The sequence below is a fragment of the Homo sapiens genome, chromosome 18 (assembly GCF_000001405.40).
Source record: "Homo sapiens chromosome 18, GRCh38.p14 Primary Assembly".
NCBI lineage: Eukaryota > Metazoa > Chordata > Mammalia > Primates > Hominidae > Homo > Homo sapiens.
In genome coordinates, this window is record NC_000018.10 from 38,726,362 (window position 1) to 38,754,039 (window position 27,678).

A 27,678-nucleotide genomic window follows, 5' to 3' on the forward strand; every position below is an offset into this window, starting at 1 on the left:
AGCTAGGTTTAGGTAGAATTTTCTTTTTCTAACTTTACAAAATAATTTATGTAACAGAGCAAGGTTTCTAGGGCTGAAGTAGTTTTCTATAGATGGGACATCTTGTAAGACTGTTAGCAGTCCTTTTCTCCCTTTAGAATTGAGGATTAGTATCTTCAAAGGTTTGCAATCTCTTCCTTTGGGCCTTTTAATATTTTTGTTAAGTTTCAAGGTTTTATATCTCCTTCTTGCTTTAAAACATTTTAAAATTTGAAATGAGTAGATATGGGCCATTGTAAAGGTATCTCATCTAAATAACTGCTTCTTGAACTTCACATATGATGTCTGGTAATTCTTTCAGAAAATAGCCCTCTCTCTTGGTCATATGAGAATTGCTTCTGTTTTATTCATGGAAGATACCCCAACACTGCCAAGAAAGTCCCTCTGGCATTATCCTGCCCCATTTTTCACCTTCGGAGGTCTTTACACACATCAGCTAAATTCATTCTCTAGGGCCTCTGTGAAGATGGTGACTTTACAAATTCCTCCGTTGACAAATTCCTACCTAGGGAAGCATTATGGATGTTGATGGGAAAAATGCATCTTGCCAGGATTATAGCCCACTCTGAATGTGAAGCCTAAGAGTTTGGAAACTGAGCAGTGCCTTTTAGGGCTAGAGATTGACTTAAGATTCAACTGCAAATTGGTAGCTAATGTTTGCCGAAGGGATGTACAATTAATAAATGGAAAAATTGTGCTTCACTTTTGTTTCCAAAGTGAATAGGATGTTTGTCAAAGCAAGAAACTTTGCTTTGATTATAAGCTACAGATAATGAAAATGTGTTTATGTTTCACAAATACATTTGATTCTAGTGGATTGTATTTCCCATCAGGGAACCAGGTTCAGCAAATATTTTCACATGCTAACTCCTCAAATCAGGCAGAAGGTTTTCATTGACTAGAAATACAATAAGCTTTGAGAATAGAGGGTTGACTAGAAACTAATAGACTTTATAATTGTTCTTCTCTAGAATTTATAAGGACCAGCACTGGTTAGCTGTCAAGTACACATATCACCTACTTTTAGGTATTAGAACTCACAAATACAGTCTCTGCTTTCTTTAACCTCATTGACAAATCATAGAGAATTCCCTAAACTTACCATCTCTTCATGTTGAAAACGAGGGGCCCATATTAAAATGGTTTTGATAAAAAAGTAATTTCAAATAAGAAATACAAATCTAGAATAAGGAGAGTTTAGAAATAGAAGACTGCATAGACATGGTTTACAGATCAGAGGTACTGAACAGGGATTCTGGCTAGGAATCTCGGCCCACAGAAGTTAAAGGCTTGTTACTCAGCCCCTTAGAGCATATCTTTCTACAGAGTCAAGAAGAAATTGACTACCAGGATGAGTAAGATGTATGTTGATCAAGGGATTGAGATGAATGTTCCAGAGTTAGAGTACAGAATGAGCTAAAATACCCTACTCATTCAAACTAAAGAGAAGAAGTTCTGCCTGGAACAAAACTGATTAAAAAAGAGAGTTGTCTCTTCCAGCAATGGCAAGATGTGTTGCAGACAAATTTGAGCACAATGGTCACAATCTCACTATACAACCTGATGGTGAATATTTTTCACATTGTGAGGACTGTAATTAAAACAAAGAGAAGTATTTTTTTTCAGATATTTCAGTTGCTGAATATTTCCTTAAAGCTTTCCTGAAAATGATTCATGACATAGGAAGGTAAAACCTAGAGATCAAAACTCCAACTGGTACTCAAACTCAACCAACAAAGAGTGGAAGGGATGATAATGAATAGTAAAGAGTATGATCAATATGCATTGAGCTTTACCTTGAGGAATCTTCCTCTTCTGGTGCTGTCGCTGTTGCTTGTTTTTCCTCTTGGGCATGTTGAACAGAAGTGCTGCAGATTTCACCCCTTCTTCTGACACATCAGCTCACCTTTGCACTTTGATCAGGGAGATTTGTCTGGTACTTGATTTAAGCATGCTGAAAAAAATTGCTTAACTGAAGAGACACAAAGTAACAAGCTGTTTGTCCATTTGTTTCTCAGCAACAATGCTTAGTCAGGGCCTGGAAATCACACCTCATAACAAACACATACACACCTCATTTCCTTCATGATTGTAGCCAGTGATTTTGAGTGAGTGGTGTCTCTAGTGATGTGTTAGAGCAAGAAGGAACAATCTCTGCTAATCCATGATTCTCCCTTAACACTTCGTGGGTTCCAAGGCTGTTTGTTTACAAGCCCTCAGTATTATTATGCAGTATTCTCATAAACTATGGCATGGAAGATTGAAAAACTGGGTTTTCAATCATGTTTACTTCTTACTTCAAGGATATTTCTTCCTAAATCTTTGCGTCTTTTGCTTTTTACATTTTTTTCCCAACACTGATTTCCTTTCCATTTCTACATTTTCTTGACTCTTCTCTTTTCTAGATTCCCGTATTTTATGGTTGAATACAATCAAGTCTTGGATTTCGGTCCTAAGACTATTTTAATATCCTTTTCACATTCCCTAAAAGTATTATGACTTTGATCCAGAAGGAAATGTAGGGCATGGTTCATGGCAGGTACCCAGTGAATACTTATTGCCAAAGTTAATCATCCTAGAGCTCATCTTGGCTCTAAAGAAGGAGACAATGATACCTTTCAGGGGACTACTGAGAGCATTAGTCTAGAGACTTCTCCAAAATTTGCTGTTGATGAACTAATTCCTGCTCCATTCTTCAGGTCAGGAAGGGGTCCAAAAATATTTGTCAAAAAAAAAAAAAATAAGAAGAATGGAAAAGGACAATTTAGTAGGATCTGAGTATATCTGTTGTCTGTTCTTGCTAGGCATAGAAACATACCACACCCTCACAACCTGTGTTATTGTTGCTTTGATATGCTTGCTTGGAATCTGCCTCTATCTTTACATCCTCTGTTGCTCATCCTTTATTCCACTCTCCTATCATCTTTTACCATACTGTTCCCTCACCGCAGTCACAGCCATGCTCCCATGTTCCTGCTCATATATTTCTCTGAATTGATTATTCAGATTTTTTGATGAATGTGACTGTTATCTCCGTTATAGCATATTCCCTCTATGCACCACTAGAATGTAAATTTCTTCTGGAAAGTTGATCCTTCCCCCCCCCCCCACCCATATCTTTAGAATCTCCCATAGGGTGAAACAGAGTGTAGAATCCAGTGTAAGGTGTGGATAATGCTATTGATGTCAGGTGGAGGAGTAATGAATTTCATTCTGTTGCAGGGACTGACTGGATGCTCAGCAATCCTTTTCCTTCTTCCTGGAAAAAATATAAAACTCTATTTCATGGTATCACGTGTACTTACTTTAGCACCTTGTGACTAGTTCTAGCAAATGGCAGAAGGAATGGACATCATTTCCCATTGTGGTCATAAAACATGCTGCTTGATCTCCCCACTCTATTTGGTTTCTCTTTCCTCCATCAGTACTACCGGAAGCATGGGTCTTTGAGATGGTAGAACCTCATGCTGGTTCTCTGAGTCAGTATCTGGGGGTAGTGGGACCACTCAGAGAGGCCCTCCAAATTGCATCTACCTGTGAAGCAAATGAGAAGTGAACTTTTAGTGTGTTAAGTTTGAGTTGGTTTGTTATTGTCCTAAAGCCTAGCCCTGCCACACTAATACAGATGATAAACTGTATAATTAATTGAGAAAAATCCCTAGACAAGAGACATGTCTATGTACACCTCAACAGATAGGTGTGTGGCTGTGTGTATGTGTGTGTCCATTTGTGTAAGTGTGTGTGTTGTTCACCACTGACCAACTCTCTGTCTCCTTCCTACAGCCTCAGTACCTTCATCTCTAAGATAATGGTGTATATTAGAAGTTCCATTAGCTTGAAATTATCCAAAACAGTCTTGCATTTCTTTAGGTCTCAACATTTCTGAAGTCTTTTAAACCCAAGAACAAAGCTTGGGGCTTGGGTAGACTCTGATTTTAAGTTCATCCAAACCATCTCTTTGTTGCCTTTGCCCCCTTTAAGAAAATTCCAGATGAAAGCATAAATCTGACACATGAACTGATTTGCTGCACAGCAAGATAATTCTTTTAAGTAGTTTCTATTATAGGAAAATTAATTTCAAGGCACTTCATACAGTTCTAGTAAAATCCTTCCGCTCCATGGGGGTCCATGAGCAACATTAACTGTGCAGCATTTGCTGGGTATGCCTCGTTATGACTTGGTGCAGTGAAGGATGTTTTTAAATTTTTTTTTAAGATGGGCATTTTGAAAATGCATTTTTTTATCTCTGCATGAACATTTAAAGAAAACTGGAATTTGAGATATTTTTATAATGAACAAAATATTTTTCTCCTGCCTCCTATAAGGGGACAGAACTTGTTTCTCCTGGTAAAACTTTGCAGTTTATTTATTTTTATTTAGATATTTGTGTGTGTGTGTGTGTGGCCCACTATTGATTCATTTGAAGACTTTATCGAAAACAAATATAAAATACCCTCTGCCAATAAGTATAGTTTAACATTTGAATGATTAACAACAAATGAGAGGCTGGGCATGTGGCTCATGCCTGTAATCCCAGAACTTTGGGAGGCTGAGGCAGGTGGACCACCTGAGGTCAAGAGTTCAAGACCAGCCTGGCCAACATGGTGAAACCCTGTCTCCACTAAAATTACAAAAATATTAGCTAGGTGTGGTGGCAGGCGCCTGTATTCCCAGCTACTCATGGGACTGAGGCAAAAGAGTCGCTTGAACCAGGTCAACGGAGGTTGCAGTGAGCCAAGATGGCACCACTTCACTCCAGCCTGGGCAACAGAGTGAGTGAGACTCTGTCTGAAAGAAAAAGAAAAATAATAATAATTAAAAAAAACAACCACAAGGAGAGACCATCAACCAGCTTTCACTTATTCAGCTTCTTTCATACTGTCACAGGTGTTCTCAAGAGAACTACCTAAATTGTGCACGAGTTTCCATCTCAGAGCCTGTTTCCTGGAGAACCGAACTTAAGACCTGTGGTAGGCAAAAGCTTTTTATGGACTGTCTCCATTTTATCTACTCTCTGCTCCAGCAAACTTCTTAACTCACTCTCCTCCAATATCATTGGCTCCTCCTCCCTCTCTCTTTCTTGCTCTACTCAAAATATTCCCTCTGCTAAAAAAACTTTTCTCTGACTTTTCCTCTAGCTCAGAGAAACTCTGTATCCAGATTTCAAGAATTAATTTCTACTCCATATTTTATGTCTCCTCTCCAGAGTAACTTCTTATTATCTCAACTTTCTTTTCTCTGAATCATGGTAGAACTGGTATTGGAATTATTTCATTTTATTTTAAGCTGCTTTGTAGTATTAGACTTGGGGCAGAGATCCTGATTTTTTCTTATGTTTCTCCTCCACAACAAATTTTATAGTGCCAAGATCATAGTGATCTTTCAGGTGGTTTTGCTGGTCTGTTTTCATAGGGCTTATTAAACTCTGCTATCACTCGTGAATGTTGTGTTGTGTTCTCATTACATGATCAGAGTCAGATGTAGTTTTCAGAGAGAAGTAATTATAAAGGGTATATGTGAACTAAAGATACGCTTCCATATTGTGCATTATTATTATTATTATTATTATTATTATTATTATTTTTCTGTGATGGAGTCCCAGTCTGTTGCCCAGGCTGGAGGGCAGTGGCATGATCTTGTCTCACTGCAACCTCTGCCTCCCGGGTTCAAGTGATTCTCCTGCCTCAGCCTCCCGAGTAGGTGGGATTACAGGCATCCACCACCATGTCCAGCTAATTTTTGTATTTTTTTTAGTAGAGAGAGGGTTTCACCATGTTGGTCAGGCTGGTTTCGAACTCCTGACCTCAAGTGATCCACCTGCCTTGGCCTCCCAAAGTGCTGAGATTACAGATGTGAGCCACGGCACCTGGCCATATTGTGCACTATTTATATTAAAAGCTATGCATTCATGTTCTACAAACCAATTAATATACAGTAAATACTGCAGTAATTTGTACACAATTGATAGTGTTAGACACTCGATGGCAGTCCTCATTTTTAATTAATCTCCTGGTGAAGTGATATAATTACAGGTTGTCCTCTGAAGGCCATGGTGGCTAGCAGTTGTGAGATACTGCACCTTCAGATTTCCTTAACATTAAATCCAGACCCCTAAGGGGTACATTCATTTCACTTCTTTTTAAAACCTGAAATAATTAATATTTGATCAAAAATTTAGCATTTAAAAAGTATGTTCACGACCTTCTTTTTATTTGATTTAGTTTGGCAGAAACCATGTCCATGACAGACCAAAGTAAGGAAAGGGAGCACATTGCTATTGGAAGAACTCCTAATGCTTCAAATATACCCCATTTACCATTCCATTTGGAACCTAGAAAGCATTGAATAGTTTGCGCCAATGGCTGCTCTTTTCTCTATGGCCAAGGATGGCCAAGTTTTTGTCACCTAACCCAGAATTTTTTACTTCGAGAATCTCTCTCCCTTTGTCCAGTGGCAAAGAAGATACTCAGAATCCTCATTAGATATAATGAGTAATTGTTCCCTCTGAAAGAAATATCTCTAACTCAGGTTCTTCTGAGCTGGGAAACATTTTAAATATAGCATTGGCTACTGCAGGTTCATGATAATGTTTACAAAAGCAATCAATATGTTAATAGAATTGTTTGATTAATATAAGAAGTTGAGAATTTAGTTTTTACCAACCTTCAACATAACTGGAGACATTTATAAACAGATTTTCTTTGTTTCTGCTCGAAGTGGAACTAGTAATAATAACATGGAGATAAAACTTTATTTGCTCTATAGCAGATCCAGAGCAGCCTCAGGTTGTCTCTTTTAAAGGGCTTGAGTCCAGATCAGTTCATTGAGGCAAACACTATTTCTATGCATCAACCGATTGTGTGCTGTTTATTTCATTGGTAGTTCACTTGACTGGGCTTCTGATTTTTCTGTTAATTAAAGATCTTGGTTTAGACTGCTTCTAAAAGTCTTCTTGGTTCAAAGTTTCATTTTTCTACATTTGAGAACTCAAAAAGAAAAATCATGTGACCCAAAGGATTGTGGGTATTAATGTCTTAATCTCTACTGATATATTATCCCCAGCCCATTCTCACACTGTCTCTTCCTTCCCACGTAATTGAGTCAGACAAAAAGGAACATCTCCTCCTGTTTGTAGAATTGATTTCTGATTAGGTTTTTCACTTGGTTCTACCACCTGCAAATGTAGGTCTCCAAGGCCTGTGTTATGTGTTGAATGAAGATAATCTGATACTCTTTGCAGATCTCCAAGGAATAGGTCATGCTTTTAAGACCCTTCTTTCTGCCTCTACCTATCCATACTTCCTAGGAAAAAGAAAATAAAGCTTTTAAAGGATTAACTTACATAAACAGCAGGGCCCCTTGCTAGGAAAGCAGGGAGACTTCCAAATCATGCAACTTGACCCAGAAATAATAAAACACTGAAAAGACAAATGGAAACTTCTTTCAATTCCAGTTGATTCTTGTGTCAATTTTTCCCTTGCATTTTCCCACTTGCTGTAGGCTACAGATTAAAAGGCAATTGTACATTTTTTTAAATTGCAGTTTATTATTTGTATCTCATATAACCTCACGGGATATATTTTTGTTTTATATTGTTTTTTCTTAAGTTTGAAATGAAGAAAACTACAATAAAAATTAGAATCCTCCTAATTTTTATTTTTATCACCCAAGGTTCAATTTCAGGTCATGGATACTACTATGGAAGAAATCATGATTAAAGCAAAGAGCAATGGACTAGGAGTCAAAAAATAAGAAATCTAGCTGTAGGGGTCATTAACCAAGTATGGTTAGAGTAAAGAATCCCATGTTCCTATTCAACCTTAGTTTCCCTAACTGTTCAAAGAAGAATTTTAGACACAGAGATCATTCCAGCTTCTACTATGCCACAATTATCATCTCACCCCAGCCCTGCATAGACACACAGTGAGTGACCAGCAGCATTGCTGAGTTAGTGGTACTTGACTTTGATGCTCTCGGCCTCTGGATTCTAGTTGCTCTCCTTCCTCAGTCATGTACCTTTTCCCGCACCTGGAGCACAGGGCTTAGAACCAACTTCTGGATCTATAAAGGTATGTGACCGACATTCAGTCTTTCACACATGAGTATGAATCTTGGGCACCATGCTTTTTTCCCTCTATTTGTTAGCGTTTTTACTCTCTCAGTGTTATAAGACAGAAGCAGGTACATTTCTTACAGCAGTTTTAGGTATAAGGAGGCTGGTAGGGCCACTTGTATGAGGGCGTCTTTATGTGCTTTGGTGTGGGTCCTTCTCTCTGGGCCTTTGACAAAACTCCATTCTTACATGCCTGCAACAGGTGCCTCTGATATCAGTTTAATTACACTAATAGCCCTGAACTTACACTTAAATATTGTTCTTAAAATTCTTCAGGTTAGCACTTGTGTGTATCAAAACAACAGGGGAGGCTCTCCAGAAGTGACATTTGGACTGGCTCCTGGAATAGCAGGATTTTGCCAGGTAAACAGGTTGGGAAAAGCCTTCACCAGTTATAGACATTTCTCTCCTCTCTCCTATTCTCCATGCTTCCGCTGACATTAGATGACTTTTATCCCACGTTAAATTAGATGTGGGATTTGAGGGAGCCGAGGTGATGCAGGGCTATGTTGCCACATTCTCTACAACATGGGGTGGCCCTGAACAGCACTGTGCAGGAGGAGTTGTCCTTTCCACTTCAGCCTTGCTTTCCAATGTTCCACTCTCATTTTTGACATTTATAAACCTGTCACACCCCCACTCTCAATCAGGTTGTTCCTAGTCACTCAGGATCCTTCTCTCTGACAATTCCTCATATCCTGGACTTCTCTCTTCACTTTCCTGAACATCTGAAATAGCTCCACAGCTCTCTGACGTATGTAGAAATATGTATTTGCATGACTCACTTACACCATAATGGCAGCAGCTAAATGGATTCTTCTGTGAAAATTTCCTTTCTCTTTCTCTCTTCATTTTTCCCCTTTCATATTTTTAATTTTTTCCCCTTTCTTTGGTTCCTCTTTTCTGTGAACATATATTGGCCATCTACTTTGAGTAAGGTGCTATATGGGACTAGTCACTATGGCGGCACAATGAGAAGATCCTGAGCTTCACCCTTGAGAAATTGGCAATCTCATGAAGAGGGAGAGGTGGTATATGGCATTTGACTGCATGATGGTCCATGGGATGAGTGCTGCAGTGGAAGCTGGAAAGGGCAGATGTGAAGTTACATGGGAAGTCAGGGGAGGCTCTCCATAAGTGACATTAGGACTCGCTTCTGGACTAGCAAGATTTTGCTAGGTAAACAGATTGGGAAAAGAATCCCCAAAAGAGGAAATTTCACGTCCAAAGGCAGAGAAGCAAGAGGGAAAATACTATGATCTGGGAGAAGAGAAAATTCAGAATTGCTGGAACAGAACAATAAAAGGTATGAATACAGAAACTAGAACTGGAGAAGTGTACTTGAAACAAATATTTTTCTTTCAGCAGGAACTTCCATGAGTCTCACAAGGAGATAAGTAGAAAACGCTCGTAGCAGAATATTCATGTCAGGGCCCCCAGTGTTCTTATTTTCGCCTTGTACCAATGACTGCCCATGATGTCCAAACAAAATTCCAAGTTTCATGCAAGAAACTTCTTGCTCATTATCTTTGAGATAACATTCTAGTCTCCACTTAATACAAACTGGACCTAGACTGTCCACTATATGCCAATTCATTTCTCTTTTCAGAAGTACAGAGTGTCAATGTGTATGTGTATGTGTGTGTGTATGAGATATGTCATTCTCACAAAAAAGTTTACATAATGATATGCGTGTTTCAAAAAATAATACAATAGATATCCATGTGACTAGTACTGCTGTGGTTTACCACAATATTATTAGTGTTTATGGAAGGTTATTTTTGAAACCAGTCTTTCTCAAAGAGGTCATTGCTGGGAACAGAGATCTAGATGAGAAAAAGTGACGTTGCTGACCCTCTGTGCATCCACAGAGTATCCCATCAGGACCCACAAGCAGAGACTCAGCAGCATCATTTATCCATTCCACCAATATGCATTCATTAAACAGGTGTTAAACGCTTGGTAGCATGTCCAGTGTTGGGCTCTCCAGGGTGGCTAGGACATTCAGAAGCTGAAACTAGTGGCATTCGTGGGTAGAATTGATGTAGCAATGTACTATAGCAGAAACCATTCAAGTATTTTGTTTTCTCCAAGATTTTTTATTATCCTCAGTTAAATAATATTCTTTTAGGGTTGAGTATGCACAAGGAATGTAAACATACATTTTTAAAATAATACAATTTCACCTTATTCTTCTACTTACCAAAATGCTTGAACAAGTTTAAAAAATTGTTTTATAGTGTGAATTTGGTCAAGGGGTAAAATAATTGGGTGCATAGAATAGTTCTGCTATGAAAAAATTTAACCTCCTTTGTCCTCAATAACAAAATTGAAGCCACAAGCAGAGATCCTACAAAACTGACTTTGCTTTAGTAACAACTAGAATATATTCATCACATTATTAAACATTCTCTTCATAAGAACATAGTACCACAGAAACACTAGGGGAAAAATGTTGAAACAGTATTTAGCAGTGGGATCATTTCATTAGGAGAAAATGTAAATGAAGCTGAAGTTTTAAGGCAGATATGCTCAAGCCTGCCCCATTTGAAGTGGAAAGATGAATTGGGAACTTCAGTAGGTCATCCAACATTCCAGCCTCCAGTAACCAAGGCAGTATCTCAGAGAAACTTCTATATCTTTCCTGATTCTGTGATAAAAGGACCATGTTAGACCACTCACCATCTTGTGTTCAGCTGAAACTGTAGACAGATCTTGAATCTATTTAACCAAAATTAGCCTCTCTAACTTCTTATTGTTTTTTTAAAGCCAGAACTATCTTTGTCATATGATATCTTCTTTCAGGGTTCATTGAACCCTCTTAATGACTTTCTAATGAGAGGAACAGATTTAGGGACTGGACACCAGTTTTTAAGACATAGTATTTGGGAGAGGTGTTGTCTAATACTACAAAATTAGAGCATATGAGTAACTACCTCTTCTACCTTCACATAACACTAACTGGAGAGTAGAAAACAAGATAATAAAATGAGAAACAAAAGAGGATTTACAGATAAAGTTAAGTGAGAGTGGTTAGTGGATAAAAGGAAAATAAAATTGAAGTTTAAGATTGGCAGTCCCATCCTTCAGTTTTTCTCTACCACCTGGACACAGAGGTTTCCTCATTAATTTGTTTCCAGTCTGGTTGCCTACCCCAAGGGGGTTGGAGCAAAGCAGCTTCTGATGAGATGGAGGTGAGAGACTATTTCCCAGATCCAACTCACTGAGACATGAACGAGACATTCAGTTCCCCAGCCACCAGCTTCTGAATCCAATAGCACACGGTGCATAAAGAAGAGAGAACCTTTCCCTTAATTACTCTTTATCCAACTGCAGCCTGGTTTATTGGCATGTCTATCAGGGCTGATTTGGTAACCTGTCTTCCTTCCCAGACCTGTGAGTTGACAACATCAGACCTCACAGTGTGCCTTACAGGAGCCAGATGTGGCAGCAATTATATTAATGAAAAAAGTTCAAGTATGACTCCAAGACAGGCTCTCAGTTAACAGAATGGGAGAATACGCAATGTTCTCCCCCAATTGGAGGAGGTGACATTTAGATAACAGTATGTAAAGGGTGTTGTTCACATCTCATTTGTTAATTACCTCATAAAGTCAAGGGAGCACAAGAATGTGGGTAGATAGGTACAGAACCTTCATAACCACCTGAAAGAAATCTTTAAAAAGTTTATGTTCTTGCTAAATGGCTTCCTCATTTTTAGATATGAAAAGCATGGTATAATGAGTCTTTCTGTGAAAAGGTATGTGTGGGAATCTTGAAATGGTGTTCATACCTCACATTTCTTTGTAGACATCCACTGTGCTTCTCATGTTAGCGTGTTATAACAGAATTTGCAATGCTGGGGGCAGTGATGGAAATAGGGCAAGGCTCAGCATATAACTGTCAATCCTGGGAGAGCCAACAGTATGGAACTCAGTGTAAGAACAGAGGTGTGTAACCTGGGCAGTCAACTTGTACATAAAATGTTAACCAGTCCTCAGAGTAGGCTGACCATGAAACAGAATTTTGCTACTATGGCCCTTTTACAATGGCATATGTGATGTTTTAGTTCATTTTTTAATGTTATAACAGAATACAACAGATTGGGTAACTTATAATAAAAAAAATGTATTTGGCTTAAGTTCTGAAAGCTGGGAAGTCCAAGGTAAGGGCCTTCTTGGTGTGTCAATCCATGGTGGAAGGTAGAAAGACAAAAGAAGATAAGAGGAAGAGGGCAAGAAGGGGCCGAACTCATCCTTTTATTAAAAACCCACTCCCACAATAAAAATGGCATTGTCTATCTATTTAAGGCAATGTCCCCATGACCCAAGCATCTCCCTTTAGGCCACACCTCTCAGCACTGTTGCATTGAGAATCAAGTTCCCAATACATGAACTTTAGAAGACACATTGAAACCATAGCAAAAGCTTAACACAGATACAGCCATAGAACAATTTACTTCAGTATCCAGAAACAACAATAAAAAAAGTCTATAAACCAAAGAAATTTTCCCATAAGAGAATACCTTATATAGATTTTTCTGACCCTAAATGTGGAGTACTGCCCATGCCTAAATCCTCATGAGAATGACTGAGGGAGAGGTAATGTTAGCTACAAACATCTTTGTCTTCAACGATCAGCTTCCCTTAGAACTAGATTGCTGTTATTAATGACAGTGATTTTCGTTTACAGCACAATGTTGGACTATAATTATTTCCTGATATGAATTGCTTACCCACTTCTTCTCCCCAATTAGGTGACCTGTTGTCTTCTACATTTGTTGTTGTTGTTGCTTCAATATTCTGAACAAATAGCTTGCTTGTGAATAGAACTGTTCAGCAGTTCTGATAGATTTTTTTTCTTTCTCTTATACATTGCTCAATAAAATTCAAGAACATTAAAAGGGCATCAGAGGTCATTAAGTGTATTATTTTCTCAAAATATAGTTGATTGCCTCATGGTTCAGATTAAGATAAAAGCTCTTGTACTAGTTTAACAAACAGCAAACTTGATTGCTTGCTGTTTTGAAAGACTGGCTGACTGTATGCTCGGAGGCTCAGTATGTCAAACATGGAATTGGTTGGTGGGAAGAGAGTGAGGGTAAACACTCCACAATCTCCCTAAGACATTATTGACCCATTTCTCAAAGTTAGAAAAAATATGTTTTCATAGTGCCCTTCACTAGCTTCTATATGCATGCCCCTGGAGAACATGGGTATAGGAAGAAATGCTAAAAAAAAAAAAAGCTCACAAATGCCCATGTCTCATCAACCAAGCTATAAAGCAGTAATTAAAAAGTCTTCAGCAACACTCTTCCTATATGCTTCATTTTTTGCCAGTTACTGTGGAAATTATTGAAGAAAAACACAAGATTCTGTCCCAAGAAGAGCTAGCACAGTATATGACAGGGTGCTATACAATGATGTAAGATTCGCAAGTTAGCACAAGACTAAGTGTTTCAGACTAAAATGCTAAGGTAATTTGGAAGAAAACAGGCAACAATAAGGAAGGCTTCCTGGAAGACAGGGCCCATGAAGGATGGGTGGAATTTATTTACACAATAAGGAAAGAAAGGGCACCTCAGTCTGATAGGAAAGCGTGAGTGAACTGGTACTACCTACGTCTGACTGATGGCATTCCCATAGTTAAATCATATCTCCATTACTTTTTCCTTGTTCTTACTTCGAGTCTTCCTTGTGCTGGGTGAGTGAATAGGTTTCTATTTGCTGAATTCATTCTATGTAATAATAAAATAATCTTGATCAATGTGAATTTTAAAAAAAGAAATTGATTTTAGCTTCAGAAATCTTGATTAATTGAGACCACTTACAACTGCCTGGCAGGCTGAGATTTTAAAAAAAACCCTTAGACAAAAATGTGCAGGGCATTGGAAGGTGATGTTGCCTCATTCCTTCATCTCAGGGCATAATCTTTCTCCTTGACCCACCCACCCAGTTTTACCACCTGTCAAAATCAATTAATGCTTCCTTGAATTCTGTACTAACACAGAAGGAGAAAATTAAAACTCAAAGGACAGGACATGATTCAGGGTACCATTGAAACTCTGAGTCCAAGATCAAATCAACACATTATAAAAACAAATAATAAACAAACAAAGAGAAACCATAGAGTAGGCTGTGAAGTTAGGATCTTCCTCACTATTGTTGCCTCAGTGTTTGGTCATAGTTACAGGTAGAAATGGAACCCATGGAAATGGAAAGAGAATGGAGCATGGCTTTGGGTCTGACAAATTATACTGCATACAAACCCTCACACACTTGGTACTATTAATTTGTGCATATGTGCTGATATTCATTTAAGAAAATATTGTTGAATATTTATGCATCATAATGTGCTACACATATGTGGAATATAATAATAATATATATAATAATATAATAAATCTGACAGAGTTGTAAGGAGGATAAAAGAGCAATGCATTGTTTAAGTTTCATGAAAGTAGTAGGTATAGGACACAGAGATCATAGAAGAAGAGATGCGTTCTGTTATGGCTCACAGGGAGTTAAAGTCACAGTATAAATCATGAAAACTTCAGGGCGGTCAAATGAGTAGTATCATTAGAAAAGGAAGCAAGTCAGACAAAAATCCTGCAGAATACATCTAACATAAAGATGTATTGTAAATAGACACAAAGAAGCCTGAAACAGACAGATATATTGGAAAAATTCAAGTGCTTAGGATAAGTGAAATCTGTGATCAGCTCAAATCTGCAAAATCAAGTAGAGGTAGTTTATTAAAGGCAGCTAATATTACACTAAGAAAGCCAATTCTTTTCAAACCATTTCATATAGTGGATTTTTTTTTTTTGTCAAGGACAATTATTTGATGAGTTCTAGTGAATAAAAAAGATAATAACAAACATAATGAGGCTTAGGATGGAGGAATATTTAAAACGGAAAACCCGACCAGGTGCGGTGGCTCACGCCTGTAATCCCAGCACTTTGGGAGGCCGAGGCAGTAGATCACAAGGTCGGGAAATCGAGACCATCCTGGCTAAAACGGTGAAACCCTGTCTCGGCTAACACGGTGGAACTCTGTCTCTACTAAAAATACAAAAAATTAGCCGGGCACTGTGGCGGGCGTCTGTAGTCCCAGCTACTCGGGAGGCTGAGGCAGGAGAACGGCGTGAACCCAGGAGGCGGAGCTTGCAGTGAGCCGAGATAGTGCCACTGCACTCCAGCTTGGGCGAAAGAGCGAGACTCCGTCTCAAAACAAAAACAAAAACAAAAAACAAAAAACAACAGAAAGCCCTTCTTTACTCCTCTCCATTTTTCTTGCCCCCTGGTTGCTTTAGATGCATTAGCATATTTTGGAAATAATAAATTTATATCTATTTATGTGTCTATTTTTATGTCTATTTATTCATCTTGTTTGTTACTATCATGTTCTTTAAAAAATCTTTATATTTTTAAGCCATAATAATTTTCTCAATAATAATACTTTACCTCAGGGACTTCTGCTTCTGTGCAGATGGAGTAACAGGGGCTGGACTTAACCTAATACATGAAATAACCAAACAAATGTAGAAAATGGACTAGATATGTGCAAAAATTTGTTTTCAAGTCACTGGACATAAGGCAATGAAATATAATGATCCCTGAGTGATTGAAAATAAAGGAAGTACGACTATGCTTACCCAAACTTATTGCCTAGAGAGTATTTTTAGAGGATGACATCAGGGAGAGGGAGATGAAGCAGAAAGCAGATAAATTCCTGAGTTGTACACACAGAGTTGAGAATCTTGAGAGGCCAAGGGAGCTAGAGCTCATAGGAGAGAACTCTGAAAAGGACAGAGGTATGCAGACAGAGAACCCTGAAGATTTGCAAATAATCACTCTCAAGTACTCAGCATAATATTGATCAGCAAATAAATGGAGAGACAAGGGAAATAACTATCCAAAAAATTAACACAGGCTGGCACTCATCTAGGAGAGGGAATAGTCTGTTTTTTCCAGCTCTACTGGAAACACTCATTATCCATAAGACATTGGGAATAATAAGGGTTTGCCTCAGTAATAAGAATAATTAGCTCTATATGAAGCACTACTCCATACCCACCTAAGAAAAACAGAAGCAAGACATAAAAGGATGAGTCAGTTTTTCAAGTAACATAACAACATCAAAAAACAAAGTTCTAATATATTTATAGAAATACAAAAGTGGCCAGTACCTAAGAAGGTATAATTCACAATATCTGGTAGCCAATAAAAAAATTGCTAGGCATTCAAAGGGGTGTGCAAATAGGATACATTATGAGAATAATCAATAACTGAAATCAACTCAGGACTGATGCAGATGTAAAAAACCATTGGAAAAGGGCAATAAGATAATTATCTTCAAAAATTAATGAAAGACATGGAACATATTATAAAATGGTTCAAAACAAATTTCTAGAGATGAAAACTTAGATATCTGAGATGAAAAGTTTATTGTATGGATCTTATGACATCTTATAAAATATAAAGGATACAGTGAACTGGAAGACACAGTAATGGGAGATGTCCAAAATTAATCATAAAAAGATTAAACATGCAGAAATCCTATTATAGGTATAATTGGCATCCTCAAAGGAGAGGAGAGAGAGAGAAAGAGGAGACAGAAAAAAAAACTGAAAAAAATAATGGCTAAAAATTGTCCAGATCTGATAAAAGTTATTAATACATACAGATTCAAGAAGCTCCAGAAATCTCCAGCAAAAGAAACACAAAGATGTAGATCAGAGAATACCAAGTAGCAAATAATGTAGGATGAAGAAGTCTAGAGATCTATCACATGAAGACCATAGGTAATCAAATTGTCCTATATGTGGGAGTCATGATAAATGAACAGGTTTTAGCTGCTCTTGCCACAAAAATGGGTAACTATGTGAGATGATGGATATGCTAATGTACTTCATTGTAGTAGCTTTTTACTATTTACATATATCTTATAGAATCATGTTGTATACCTTAAATATACATACTAAAATTTACTTTTAAAAAAGGTAGATGAATAAAAAAGTAACAAAGCACATCATAGTCAAATTGCTGAAAATCAGAAATGAAGATAAATCCTTTAGCCGAAGAAGACATGCAGAGCAACTAAGATAAGGATGATAACAAATAGCAAATATCTCATCTAAAAGTAATGCAAAGGAAGAGACAGTGGAGTAAAATTATTAAATAATCAAAATAGGAAACAAAAATACTACCTAGAATTCTATACCGTGTGAAAAATATCTTTTAAAAACTAAAAGTGAAGTAGAGACTTTTTTCAGATATATAAAAGCTTAAACGATTCATCATCAGAAGAGTCACACTACAAGACATTTTAAAGAAAGTGATTCAAGCAGATAGAAAATACTACATGAAAATATAAATTTATACAAAAAACGAGCACCTGAAATAATACCTGTATTGGTAAATATGTAATTTTTTCTATTATTTAAATGTCTTTAAAATAATTTATTGCTTAAATAAAAAATGTAGTTTGTGTCTTATAATATATATAAAAGCAAAATGTTTGACAACAATAGCACAAAGGCCAAGAAAAGAGAAATGGAAGTCTAATGCTTAAGATTCTTGTACTATCCCCGAAGTGGTATACTATCACTTGAAGTTAGTCTGTAATAAGCTAGAAGTATATATTGTAAACTCTTAAGCAACAACTAAGGTGACAATATTGAAAGTTACTAGTAATAAGCCTACAAAGGAGGGAAAATGAAATAAGAAAAAAAATTCTCCATTAACCCAAAGGAAGCCAGGGAAAAAGCAAAAGGAGTATTGGAAAAAACTAAAACAAAACAAAAAAAAAGAATAAATAACAAGATGATAGATTTAAAATAACCATATCAATGATCACATTAAGTGTAAATAATCTAAATTCACCAATTCAAAAGCATAGGTTGTTAAATTGGTTAAAAGGCAAATCTCAATGAATGCTGCCTACAAAAATAATAACGTAAATATCATGATGAGAATAGTAAAAACATAATGTAAATATAATGACAAAACATGTATAGAAAAAGAAATTCCATGCTAATACTAATTAAAAGAAAGCTGGAAAGGATACATTAACGTAGGAGAAAATAGATACCAAGGCAGAAGTGTAATATCAGAGGAAATGAAAGTCATCTCTGACACAGGGTTCAATGCATCAGGAGGATATAACAATATTAAATGTGCCCTTCAGAACAGTGTGTCAAAACACAAAAAGCAAAAACAGATTTAAAAAAGAAGAAATTGATAAGTCCACATTATACAAGATGATGTTAATATTCCTCTTTTAATAATGATAGAACTGGTAGGCAGAAAATTAATAAAATACAGATAATTTGAACAGAAATCAATCACCTCAGTATAATTGATATTGATAAAACACATCTCTTGCCACTGGGAAAATATGTATTCTTCTAAATTACTTATAGAACATCTGCTAATGTAGACTGTATTCTGGGCTATAAAATAAATCTTGATATATTTTTAAATATCTAATTTTCTGTCAATGGAATTAAATTTGAAATCAGTAACAGGGCTCTGAAAAATCTCAAAATGTTTGAAAACTAACACAATTCTAAATAATCCATGGGGCAACATAAAATCTAAATTGAATTATGACAATATTTGAGATTGAATAAAAACAAGAGAATAAATTTAAAAAATTGTGGGATATCGTTAAATACATGCAGGATCAGAATTTATAGCACTAAACATCTTTTCAGAAAAGATAAAAGTTCTCAAATAAATGACCACAGCTTGTACCATAAGAAGCTAGATAACAACAAATGAAACCCAAAAGAAAAAGAGTGTAAATAATAGTGTAAGGTGCAAATCAGTGAAATATTTTTTAAATGTAACCAAAAGAAAATCAATAATACCAGGAGCTGGGTCTTTGAAAAGGCTAATTAAATTGGTAAAACTCTAGCCAGATTGATCAGGAAAAAAAGAGAAAAGCCACAATTTACCAATAACAGAAATGAGACATGTGGCATCACTACAGATTCTATAGATATTAAGTGTTGATAAAATATTAAGAACAACTTTTTGCCTAGTATTTCAACAGTTTAGATGTATTGGACAAACATTTAAGTATGACATAATACCAACTCCACTCACACTCTTTCAGTAGATATTGATTTCAATATTACCTTGATAGAAAAAAATAAAGGGATTATTAATTAAATAAACTACAAACCAATATTCTTCATGTGACTAGATACAAAAATTTTAAACAAAATGTTGGCTCTTTGAATTCAGCAATATATAAAAGGATAGTATATAATGATTAAGTGACATTTATCCTAGGAATGTGGGATTTATTTACCAATGAAAAAGCAGTTAATGCTACTAATTGTATTAACAAACTGAAAAAAAATCACATGCTCTGCTAAATAGAATCAAAGGGGAAAAGTATTTGACCAAATCTATTACCGATTTTTGACAAAAGTTATTGGCAGTCTAAGGATAGAAGGGAATTTTCTCAACCAGATAAAGGAAATCTATGAAAAAAACCAGGAAATAACATCATACACTATGGTAAAAACGAATCCTTTCCTTATAATATTAGGTACAAGACAAATATGCCACTTCCAGTCAACATTAAATGGCAGGCTAAGTAAAATGATGTGTGCCATGAAGCCAGGAAAAGAAACTAAAAGCACTATATTGGAAAGAAAGATGTTTAACTGATCATTTATATAGAAAATCTGATGGAATCTACCAAAATGCTACTTGTAGTAATAACTTAGGTTAGAGAGAATGCAAGATGCAAGATTATAATACAGAAATATATTATATTTATATGTACTAGCAATAAACAATAAGAACTTTAAAAAAATCACAAGAAATCAAAACTGTAAAATCTGGAGAGATTCGTTGGGCAAACAATATGAAAGACATGTATCCTTAAAACTAAAAGAAAATGTTGATATAAATTAAAGAATTGGTTAAATAAAGAAATATATCTTGTTCATAGGCCAGAATATTCACTATTATTAAGATGTAAGTTACGGCTAAATGAAAAGCTAATACTAAAATTCATACAGAAATGTAACACAATAGTTAAAACACCTCTAACGAAGGGAAACAGATCAAAGGACTGACATCACATGGTTTTCAGAATTATTGCAAAACTATGATATCAAAACAGCATGTGTAGTATTGGCATAAAATAGATAAATAAGTTAATGGAAGAGAATATAGTTCAGAAACAGACTTGTCTATATATGTATAAAATAATTTTTTGACAAAGGTGCAAAGGCAGTCCTGTGGAAACAGTATTTTCAACACGTGTTTTTAGAACAACTGAATATGCACATACAAAATGAACTTTCATCTACACTTTACACCATATGGAAAAATCAAGTCAAAATAGATCATACATTTAAATATAAAATCTAGAGCTATTAAACTTCTAGTGAAAAAAATATAGAAAAAAAATTTTGTGACTAACGATAGGCCAAAATTTATTAAATAGGACACCAAAGCACTATTAAAAAGAAAAAAAATTGGCAAATTTGACTTTATCAAAATTAGAACCTACTCTTCAAAAGACAGTTAAGAAAAAAAGGCTATAGAGAAGGAGAAAATATTTACAAATCTTATTTCTGAAAAATCACTTATATCCAGAGTTCCAGAATTCAATAATAAGAAAAAAAAAGCAACTCAATATAAATGGGCAAAATATTTAAACAGATACTTCACTAAAAAAGGAATGAAGAATGAGCACGTGAGATGCAGAACATTGTTAGTTATTAGAGTCATGCGAATTAAAAGTCCAGTGAGGTAACACCACCACACACCTACACAATGACTAGAATTTAAAAAGCTCATCACGTTTGGTTTCGGCAAGGATTTGAAGGAAGTGAAACCCGCAAGCACTGGTGGTAAGGATGTAAAATGGAGCAATCTTTTCAATAAACAGTTTGGCTGTTTTTTTAAAAAGCTAAACATAATCTGTTATGTGATCCAGCCATTTTACTTCCAGATATTTACCTAAGAGAAAAGAAAGCTTGCTTATTCAGTTAGTTGTACATAACTATTTGTACATAAGTGTTCATAACCGTTTTATTATAATAGCTAAAAACTGCAGACAACCCAAATATTCTTCAATGGTGAATGGATAAACAATTTGTGGAGTAAGTAAAATACTACTCATCGATGAAAACGAATAAAGTAAAAATGAGTAACACACAACATGAGAAAATCTCAAAATAATTATGCTGAGTAGAAGAAGCCAAACAAATAGAACATGTTACATGATTCCATTTATCTAAAACTCTGGAAAAATGCTAACTAATCTACAGTGACATAAGGCAGGTTAGTAGTTGCCTGGGGAGGTGCAAGGAGGGAAAGACAGGAAAGAGGTATTACAGAGGAGCATCACTTTGGACATGATGGATATGTTCACTACCTTGATTAGGATGATGGTTTCAGGGGCACATATGTCAAAGATTGCCAAATTATACTTTTTAAAAATTTACAGTTTATTTTGTCAGTTATACTTCAAGAAAGCCGTTAAAAATTCTGCATTGTACTTAAGTATCCAAAAGTGCTTTGATATATGCTGTCTCACCTAATCACTTCATGACACTGATAGATAGCATTTAGAATCGTTACTATTATTCTGTCTTTTTTTTTTTTTTTTTTTTGAGATGGAGTCTTGCTGTGTCTCCCAGGCAAGCTGGAGTGCAGTGGCACAATCTTGGCTCATTGCAACCTCTGCCTCCCAGGTTCAAGTGATTCTCCTGCCAGCCTAACGAGTAGCTGGGATTATAGGTGCACACCACCATGCTTGGTTAATTTTTTTTTTTTTAATGGTAGAGACAGGGTTTCACCATGTTGGCCAGGCTGGTCTCTTGAACTGCTGGAACTCAGGCGATCCACCCGTCTTGGCCTCCCAAAGTGCTGGGATTACAGGTGTGAGCCACCACTCCCAGCTTATTCTGTCCTTACAGAAGGGAAAACAAGATCAGAATGATATTATTTGACCAAGGCCACGCAGTCTGCAAGTGACAGACAAAGGAAAATGCTCACATCTTCACTTTCTTTGTGTCTCTGTAAGTTCCCAGTCTTATTTGAGGTTCAAGGGCATTCAGAAAAACCTGTCCAGTGAGCTGATGTTACTGGTTATCTTTCCCATCCACCCTCTTGTTCATTTAGGGGAGACTGGCTGCCTACATAGAGTGAACTCTGAGTAGCATATGCTATTTAACTTTCACAGAACTTGTTTTATTGTGGGGGCATATTTGCGATGCATTTGTGTGAAACCAGGCATTTAGAATTTGTAAACAGAGATAGCATCTGGTTTGAGTTTCTTCAGACTTTCTTAGGCCTTTAAACTTACAGTACGTCCTCACTACTACTCCTTTCACAATTAATTGTCTATTTTCCCCAACATCTCCCATATTGTCACATGTATGATTATGTAACTACTTTTGTTTATTTCTTAATGCCCTGCATATCAAGTCAGTTTTACATTCCTTGGGCATAGAAACAGTGAATATGCTGCTGTGCTGTCCACTAAAATGTTTTAGTGGACTTCAGTGCAGTGTTTTATTTTTAATATACAGGCAGATCATTTTTGTTGATGTGGATCCTTATTTTTCCAGTTTCTGCCCAGATATTTCATGAACACTTTCTCCCATCCTATGCTTTCTTTTGCTTCATTCTCTTCTCATGAATCCTCAAGCTACCACTTACTCTTCACACAGAAATAATTAATATTTTCAGTTGTAGGCTTAATTCTTATCTCACACCCTATTTAGAACTCACAAAAACAAGAGAGAGAAAAGTAATTTTCTGGAACAAGACGAAACTGATATCTGTTAGAGATATAAGGGGAGTCAATTTATTGACCAATTCTTCAAACTAGGCCAAGTATAATAGAAATACAGTTTACAAGTTAATGTAAGAACAAAACCCTGAAAATTTGGGGCCACACAATTTTGGTGCTTAGTCCATCCTTGCTGCTATTACAAAATACTTGAGACTGGGTAGCAAATAAACAATAGAAATTTATCTTAAAGTTCCAGAGACTGAAAAATCAAGATCAAGGTACCAACAGACTCAGTGTCTGTCGAGGGCTGCTCTGTTTCCTTGCTGTATCCTCACATGGTGGAAGGGGTGAACAGTTCTCTCCACCTCTTTTATAAGGCTGCTAAAAGCCCCACCTCTTAATACCATCACTTTGGTGATTCAGTTTTAACATGTGAATTTTAGGAGGACACAGTCACACCATAGCAGTCTTCTTACTAACAAACTTTTATTATTATTAGAGATTTGAGAAACTTCAATATTTACTGTGGGGGAATGGAAGTTCTTATTTAGGTTAGATTTTTCAAAAGGGGTAGTTGGTAGCATGAACAGTAGCATGTACAAGTCAGAAATGATTGGGTTTATTAATCAAGGTGGTAGCCTGAGGGTCAGGGGCAGGAGAGAAAAGCAAAGCCGCTTCCTCTGGCACTAAATCCTGGGCCAACAGAGAAAGAATTCCTGTTAGTCTTGCTCTATTTCTTCATTAACCCTTGCATGCTTAGAAAGTGCTTTGCTGCCTAAGTCTCTCAGCCCAAGTCCTTTAGAGAAATCTCTATGTAGGAAACACCACAGATTTATCATTTATGAATTATTCATCATTATCATTATTAGCTCTCATAATTCCAGCCATGCTGCTCATGGGGCTCTGTCTTTTTGCTTAAGTCATATAAAACTCAGCTGACAAAACATTAGCAGACATTCTATGGGGAATTGTTGGGGCCTGGTTTGGCTGATTACAGCCACCTTCTATATCTAACACCAGTGATGTTGTGTATATATGACTGCTCATACTTTCCAAACACAAAGTTTCCAAAAAAGTAAAGTTTATCAAAGCAATAGGTTGAAGCCAATGAGTATTCCCACTCAAAGAACTTGGTAGCAAAGCCAGCTTCATGAGTAAAATTGAAACCCACTCTTCATCGATAGCCCATGTGTAGCGGGCACAGTGATGGGTGGCTAATGTACAACAGTACGATAGACCATTCCTTATGACATCTCAAGCAGTCAGAGATTTATTTTTCACAGATACCTTAAATGTCACTAATACTGACCCATTCTTTACATTTAGGTGTACACTCATAAAATGCAAATATCCAAGTAAAGGGTTTCATCTCCAGCTCCCTATCTTTTATTATAAATCTGTGCATCAAATTATTCGTCCAAGGCAATTGGAAAGGGAATGGATTGAAAGCACAGCCTCTCTGTTTGCGGGGAGTGGGATTTGCAACCAAGGGATCCAGAAGGCCTGGCAGCGAGTCTTAACACTGGCTGCCCACTGAGCTGTATGCCTGCCTCCTAGATTCCTACTGGGATTCTTATAGATTTTGGAACTTATCTGTCAGGCTACAGGGAGAAACAAGTTTCTACACAATAGTGTGAGCTTCCCCTTATGGTTATTTCTTTCTCCACATGATGCCAAACATGTCCATGGCAAAACTCCAGGCATGTCATAGAGTGAATCATATTCAGGGTGCCAACCATTAATTGGGGAAAAATGTTCCTTAAGCTGTTCGTTTTTGATGATAGGGAAATAAGGTAGTGCCTATTTATATAGAGTCCCATGACTGTTTTATTCCATTCAACTACACTATAACCTTGGAAATAAATGTTATTGAACTTTTTTTAACATGTCAAAAAAAAAAGAAACTTAGAAAGCTGAATTGTCTTGATGCGTTCATTTATTAATTCTTTCATTCATTCAACAAATATTTATTGTGTCCTTACTGTGTGCCAAACACTGTTACATGTGCTGGTGATACAGAGATGGAGGAAAAAAAGACCAAACCTTCTACCTTAAGATATTGCAATTTCGTGGGGAAAGCCCCAATGTAGTCACTAACAGCCATATGCTTTGAACCCAGTTCTGTCACTCAATTATCCCCTCATCATATGTGGTTATCAGTCAGCAAGAGGTAAAGAATCATCCAAGGTTCATAATTGTAGTAAGGCAAGATAAAGAATAACTATATCCCTCCTCTTTGACTCCATGGGACTTCCCTCTCAGTCTAGGTTTCCCCTGGAAAGTGGACCTAGACATTCAAGCTAATTTGCAACACCTTTAAATGAATGAGGGTGCAAGATCCAAGAGCACGTGTTGAGATGCTCTGGGTCCTACAGCTTCTCAGGATGAAGCAGGGACTCTACTTTGGGAAGATTTGGTTTTCTCACCTTCAGGAATGCCGGGTTTGGACTTCTTTATGGCCAATGTGTTGCAGGAAGTAGATTTTGCTCTATTTCTGAACAGCGGCACTGAATGCCAGGGAAAGGGAAGACTGCCTCCTGCCATGTTGTAAGGCTATCTTGAGGGCCTTCCAAAGCCCAGATTTCCTCTGAATTAAGATAAAGCAGTGCTGGGATTGCCAGTAAATAAGAGAGGGGCTGGAGTCTTGGAGTTAAATATGAGGGAGCTGCTGGTGGGACTTACAGACGCCAGCATGTTCACACACACCCACGCCTACACACACACTCACACACACAACCCCAGGTGGAGTGGGAAATTAGTCAGCAGAGTCCTGACAAAGTGCTTCCTACACATGCTGTTCTGTCAGGCGGCACAGCTTCTCAGGCTTCAGAGGTAATTACATGGATTTTCTGTCTTGTACTTGCAAAAACACAGCCCAGCACCGTGCTGCCGCTGCTGGCTTGTCGCTGACAACGCCTTTGGCTCTGGCAGGCAGCAGGCTGCAGGAGAATGTTTACATGTTCTCTTTTAAGAATTCAAACCCCGAGAAGGCACAGGAGGTACCAGGGGAAGAAAGAGGTGAGAGTTTACATGAGGGGGAGAAAGTGTAGGGAAGATATTCTTGGATAACCACACAAGGCATTCCAGGGGAGATGGGGATAAACAAGATACACAAAAATAGGGAAACTGCTGCAGAGAAGGCTACAATGATACTTGCATTAATGAATTTCGTTTCCTTTCTCTTCATCCATCAGCATAATTACTTGGCCAGTAATACTCATTCTGCTTTCAACCAATCCACCCATCAATCAACAGTTGTTAGATGCTAGATGCCCAAATTTTAGGCTGGGCAATTTGTGTTTTTGTGGGTTGGAGGACAAAGCATAAAGCACAGTTCCTGCATAGAGGAGCTTACAAAGAAGGTGAGAAGACAGTGACTCATTTCAGGAAAACAGAAAGAAGGTAGATGATGACTTGTGCCCAGTTGGGTATAGTTAGAGAAGTAAAGTGACTTGTTCAAGGTCACAAAGCCAGTTAGTAGCCAAGTCATGACTTGTGCCCAATTAGGTATAGAGTACCATTCCTGATGTCAAGACTCTACCCATTATTTGGGGGATATTCTCCTTTCTAGTCTTTATTTTAATGGAGATTAGAACCAAGAAATGGAACACAGAAACAGGAATAAGTAGGAGACAAAAATGTGCTGGGGCACTTTACCTTATTATGAGCAAAAAGGAACAGGACATGGACCAGTGCAAGGAGCAAATCATTCATGAGACGTACTGTGGGCCTAAGCGATGCCCAGTGTAATGCCATGGGAAGCAGGGCCTCAGCGAGAAGTCATGTAACCAGTGTGCAGTTATCCATATGCAACTCATGTGCATATCATACAGGGTGTCTGTTAGATGTGGGCTGTATTCGCTGTGTGAATGGAAAACTCCAGACTGAAGCAGGCTCATTTTCAGGCTGCATTTTCAGACCTGGCTTTTATATCAGGTCCAGGTGACAGTTACTAGCATTGACTATGTGTGGATTTCCGAATTTACGATTCTTATAAAAATTGATCAAATGTGTGTGCCTCTATGTATTTGCCCTAATACCTAGAATGCTGACTCAAACTCCGTGGGAACCTTAGAACACAGAATCAAAAAGAGGCCCGGACTAAAGGATGCATTTATGACTTGGCTACTCATTGGCTCTGTGACCTTGAATAAGTCACTTCACTTCTCTGAACTTTTATTTTACAATCAAATCTTTTGGATATTTTGGGGCCAACTCCAGTTGTCCAACCATGGCTGTGGTTTTCTCTGATATCATCAGTCTCCTGTATGTTTCTCCACATGCCCCTGTCTGGGTCTTCAATTAAACTATTCTCCTTCTTTAATGTGTCCCACTCTCCTCAAACCATCAAACCCTGGACATGCTTCCGGTCTTTACTTAAGGCCTCTTCCCATCTGCAACCTCATATCTTCCAGTCTGCATTTCTCTCCCTTCTCTGAATTCCCAGAACAATGCATATTTCCAAGAGGTCAAGCCCTAGAGGTCACAGAATGTGAATCCTTAATAGCAGTATTTGTGATTGTCTCTGTGTTTCTGAGGGGAACATGGTTTGTTAAGGGCACTGGGTAGAGATTGACAAAATTGTTGATATTTTTTATTATATCACTCAGGGTGCCAGATATAATCAGGAAACATAACTAAATTCATATTATAAAATGTTTAGCCTGAACTAGGAAAAAAAACAGACTTTATGGTCAGAAGGTATCCTAGTTAAATGACTGTTCCTCACCAAACCTGCCAATTTCAGGTTT

General features: G+C 37.1%; 1 long non-coding RNA gene across 2 annotated transcripts in view, besides 2 other annotated features; it reads right to left on the reverse strand.

Moving 5' to 3' along the window:
* Positions 1 to 6,941, reverse strand: part of LOC105372076 (uncharacterized) — a 38,317-nt gene extending 31,376 nt beyond the window's left edge. For both annotated transcript variants that reach the window (XR_935395.2, XR_935396.3), the window contains exons 1-3: positions 6,703 to 6,941; positions 3,345 to 3,573; positions 1,836 to 1,993 (exon numbers count right to left, since the gene is read on the reverse strand). This is a non-coding gene — a long non-coding RNA (uncharacterized LOC105372076). The remainder of the gene's footprint in view (positions 1 to 1,835; positions 1,994 to 3,344; positions 3,574 to 6,702) is intronic.
* Positions 25,770 to 25,849: a silencer, noted in NCBI's record as "silent region_9408". NCBI's record gives its function as "represses an Ori minimal core promoter by ATAC-STARR-seq in GM12878 lymphoblastoid cells {active_cell/tissue: GM12878}" and the evidence as "EXISTENCE:reporter gene assay evidence [ECO:0000049][PMID:35858748]".
* Positions 26,279 to 26,328: a silencer, noted in NCBI's record as "silent region_9409". NCBI's record gives its function as "represses an Ori minimal core promoter by ATAC-STARR-seq in GM12878 lymphoblastoid cells {active_cell/tissue: GM12878}" and the evidence as "EXISTENCE:reporter gene assay evidence [ECO:0000049][PMID:35858748]".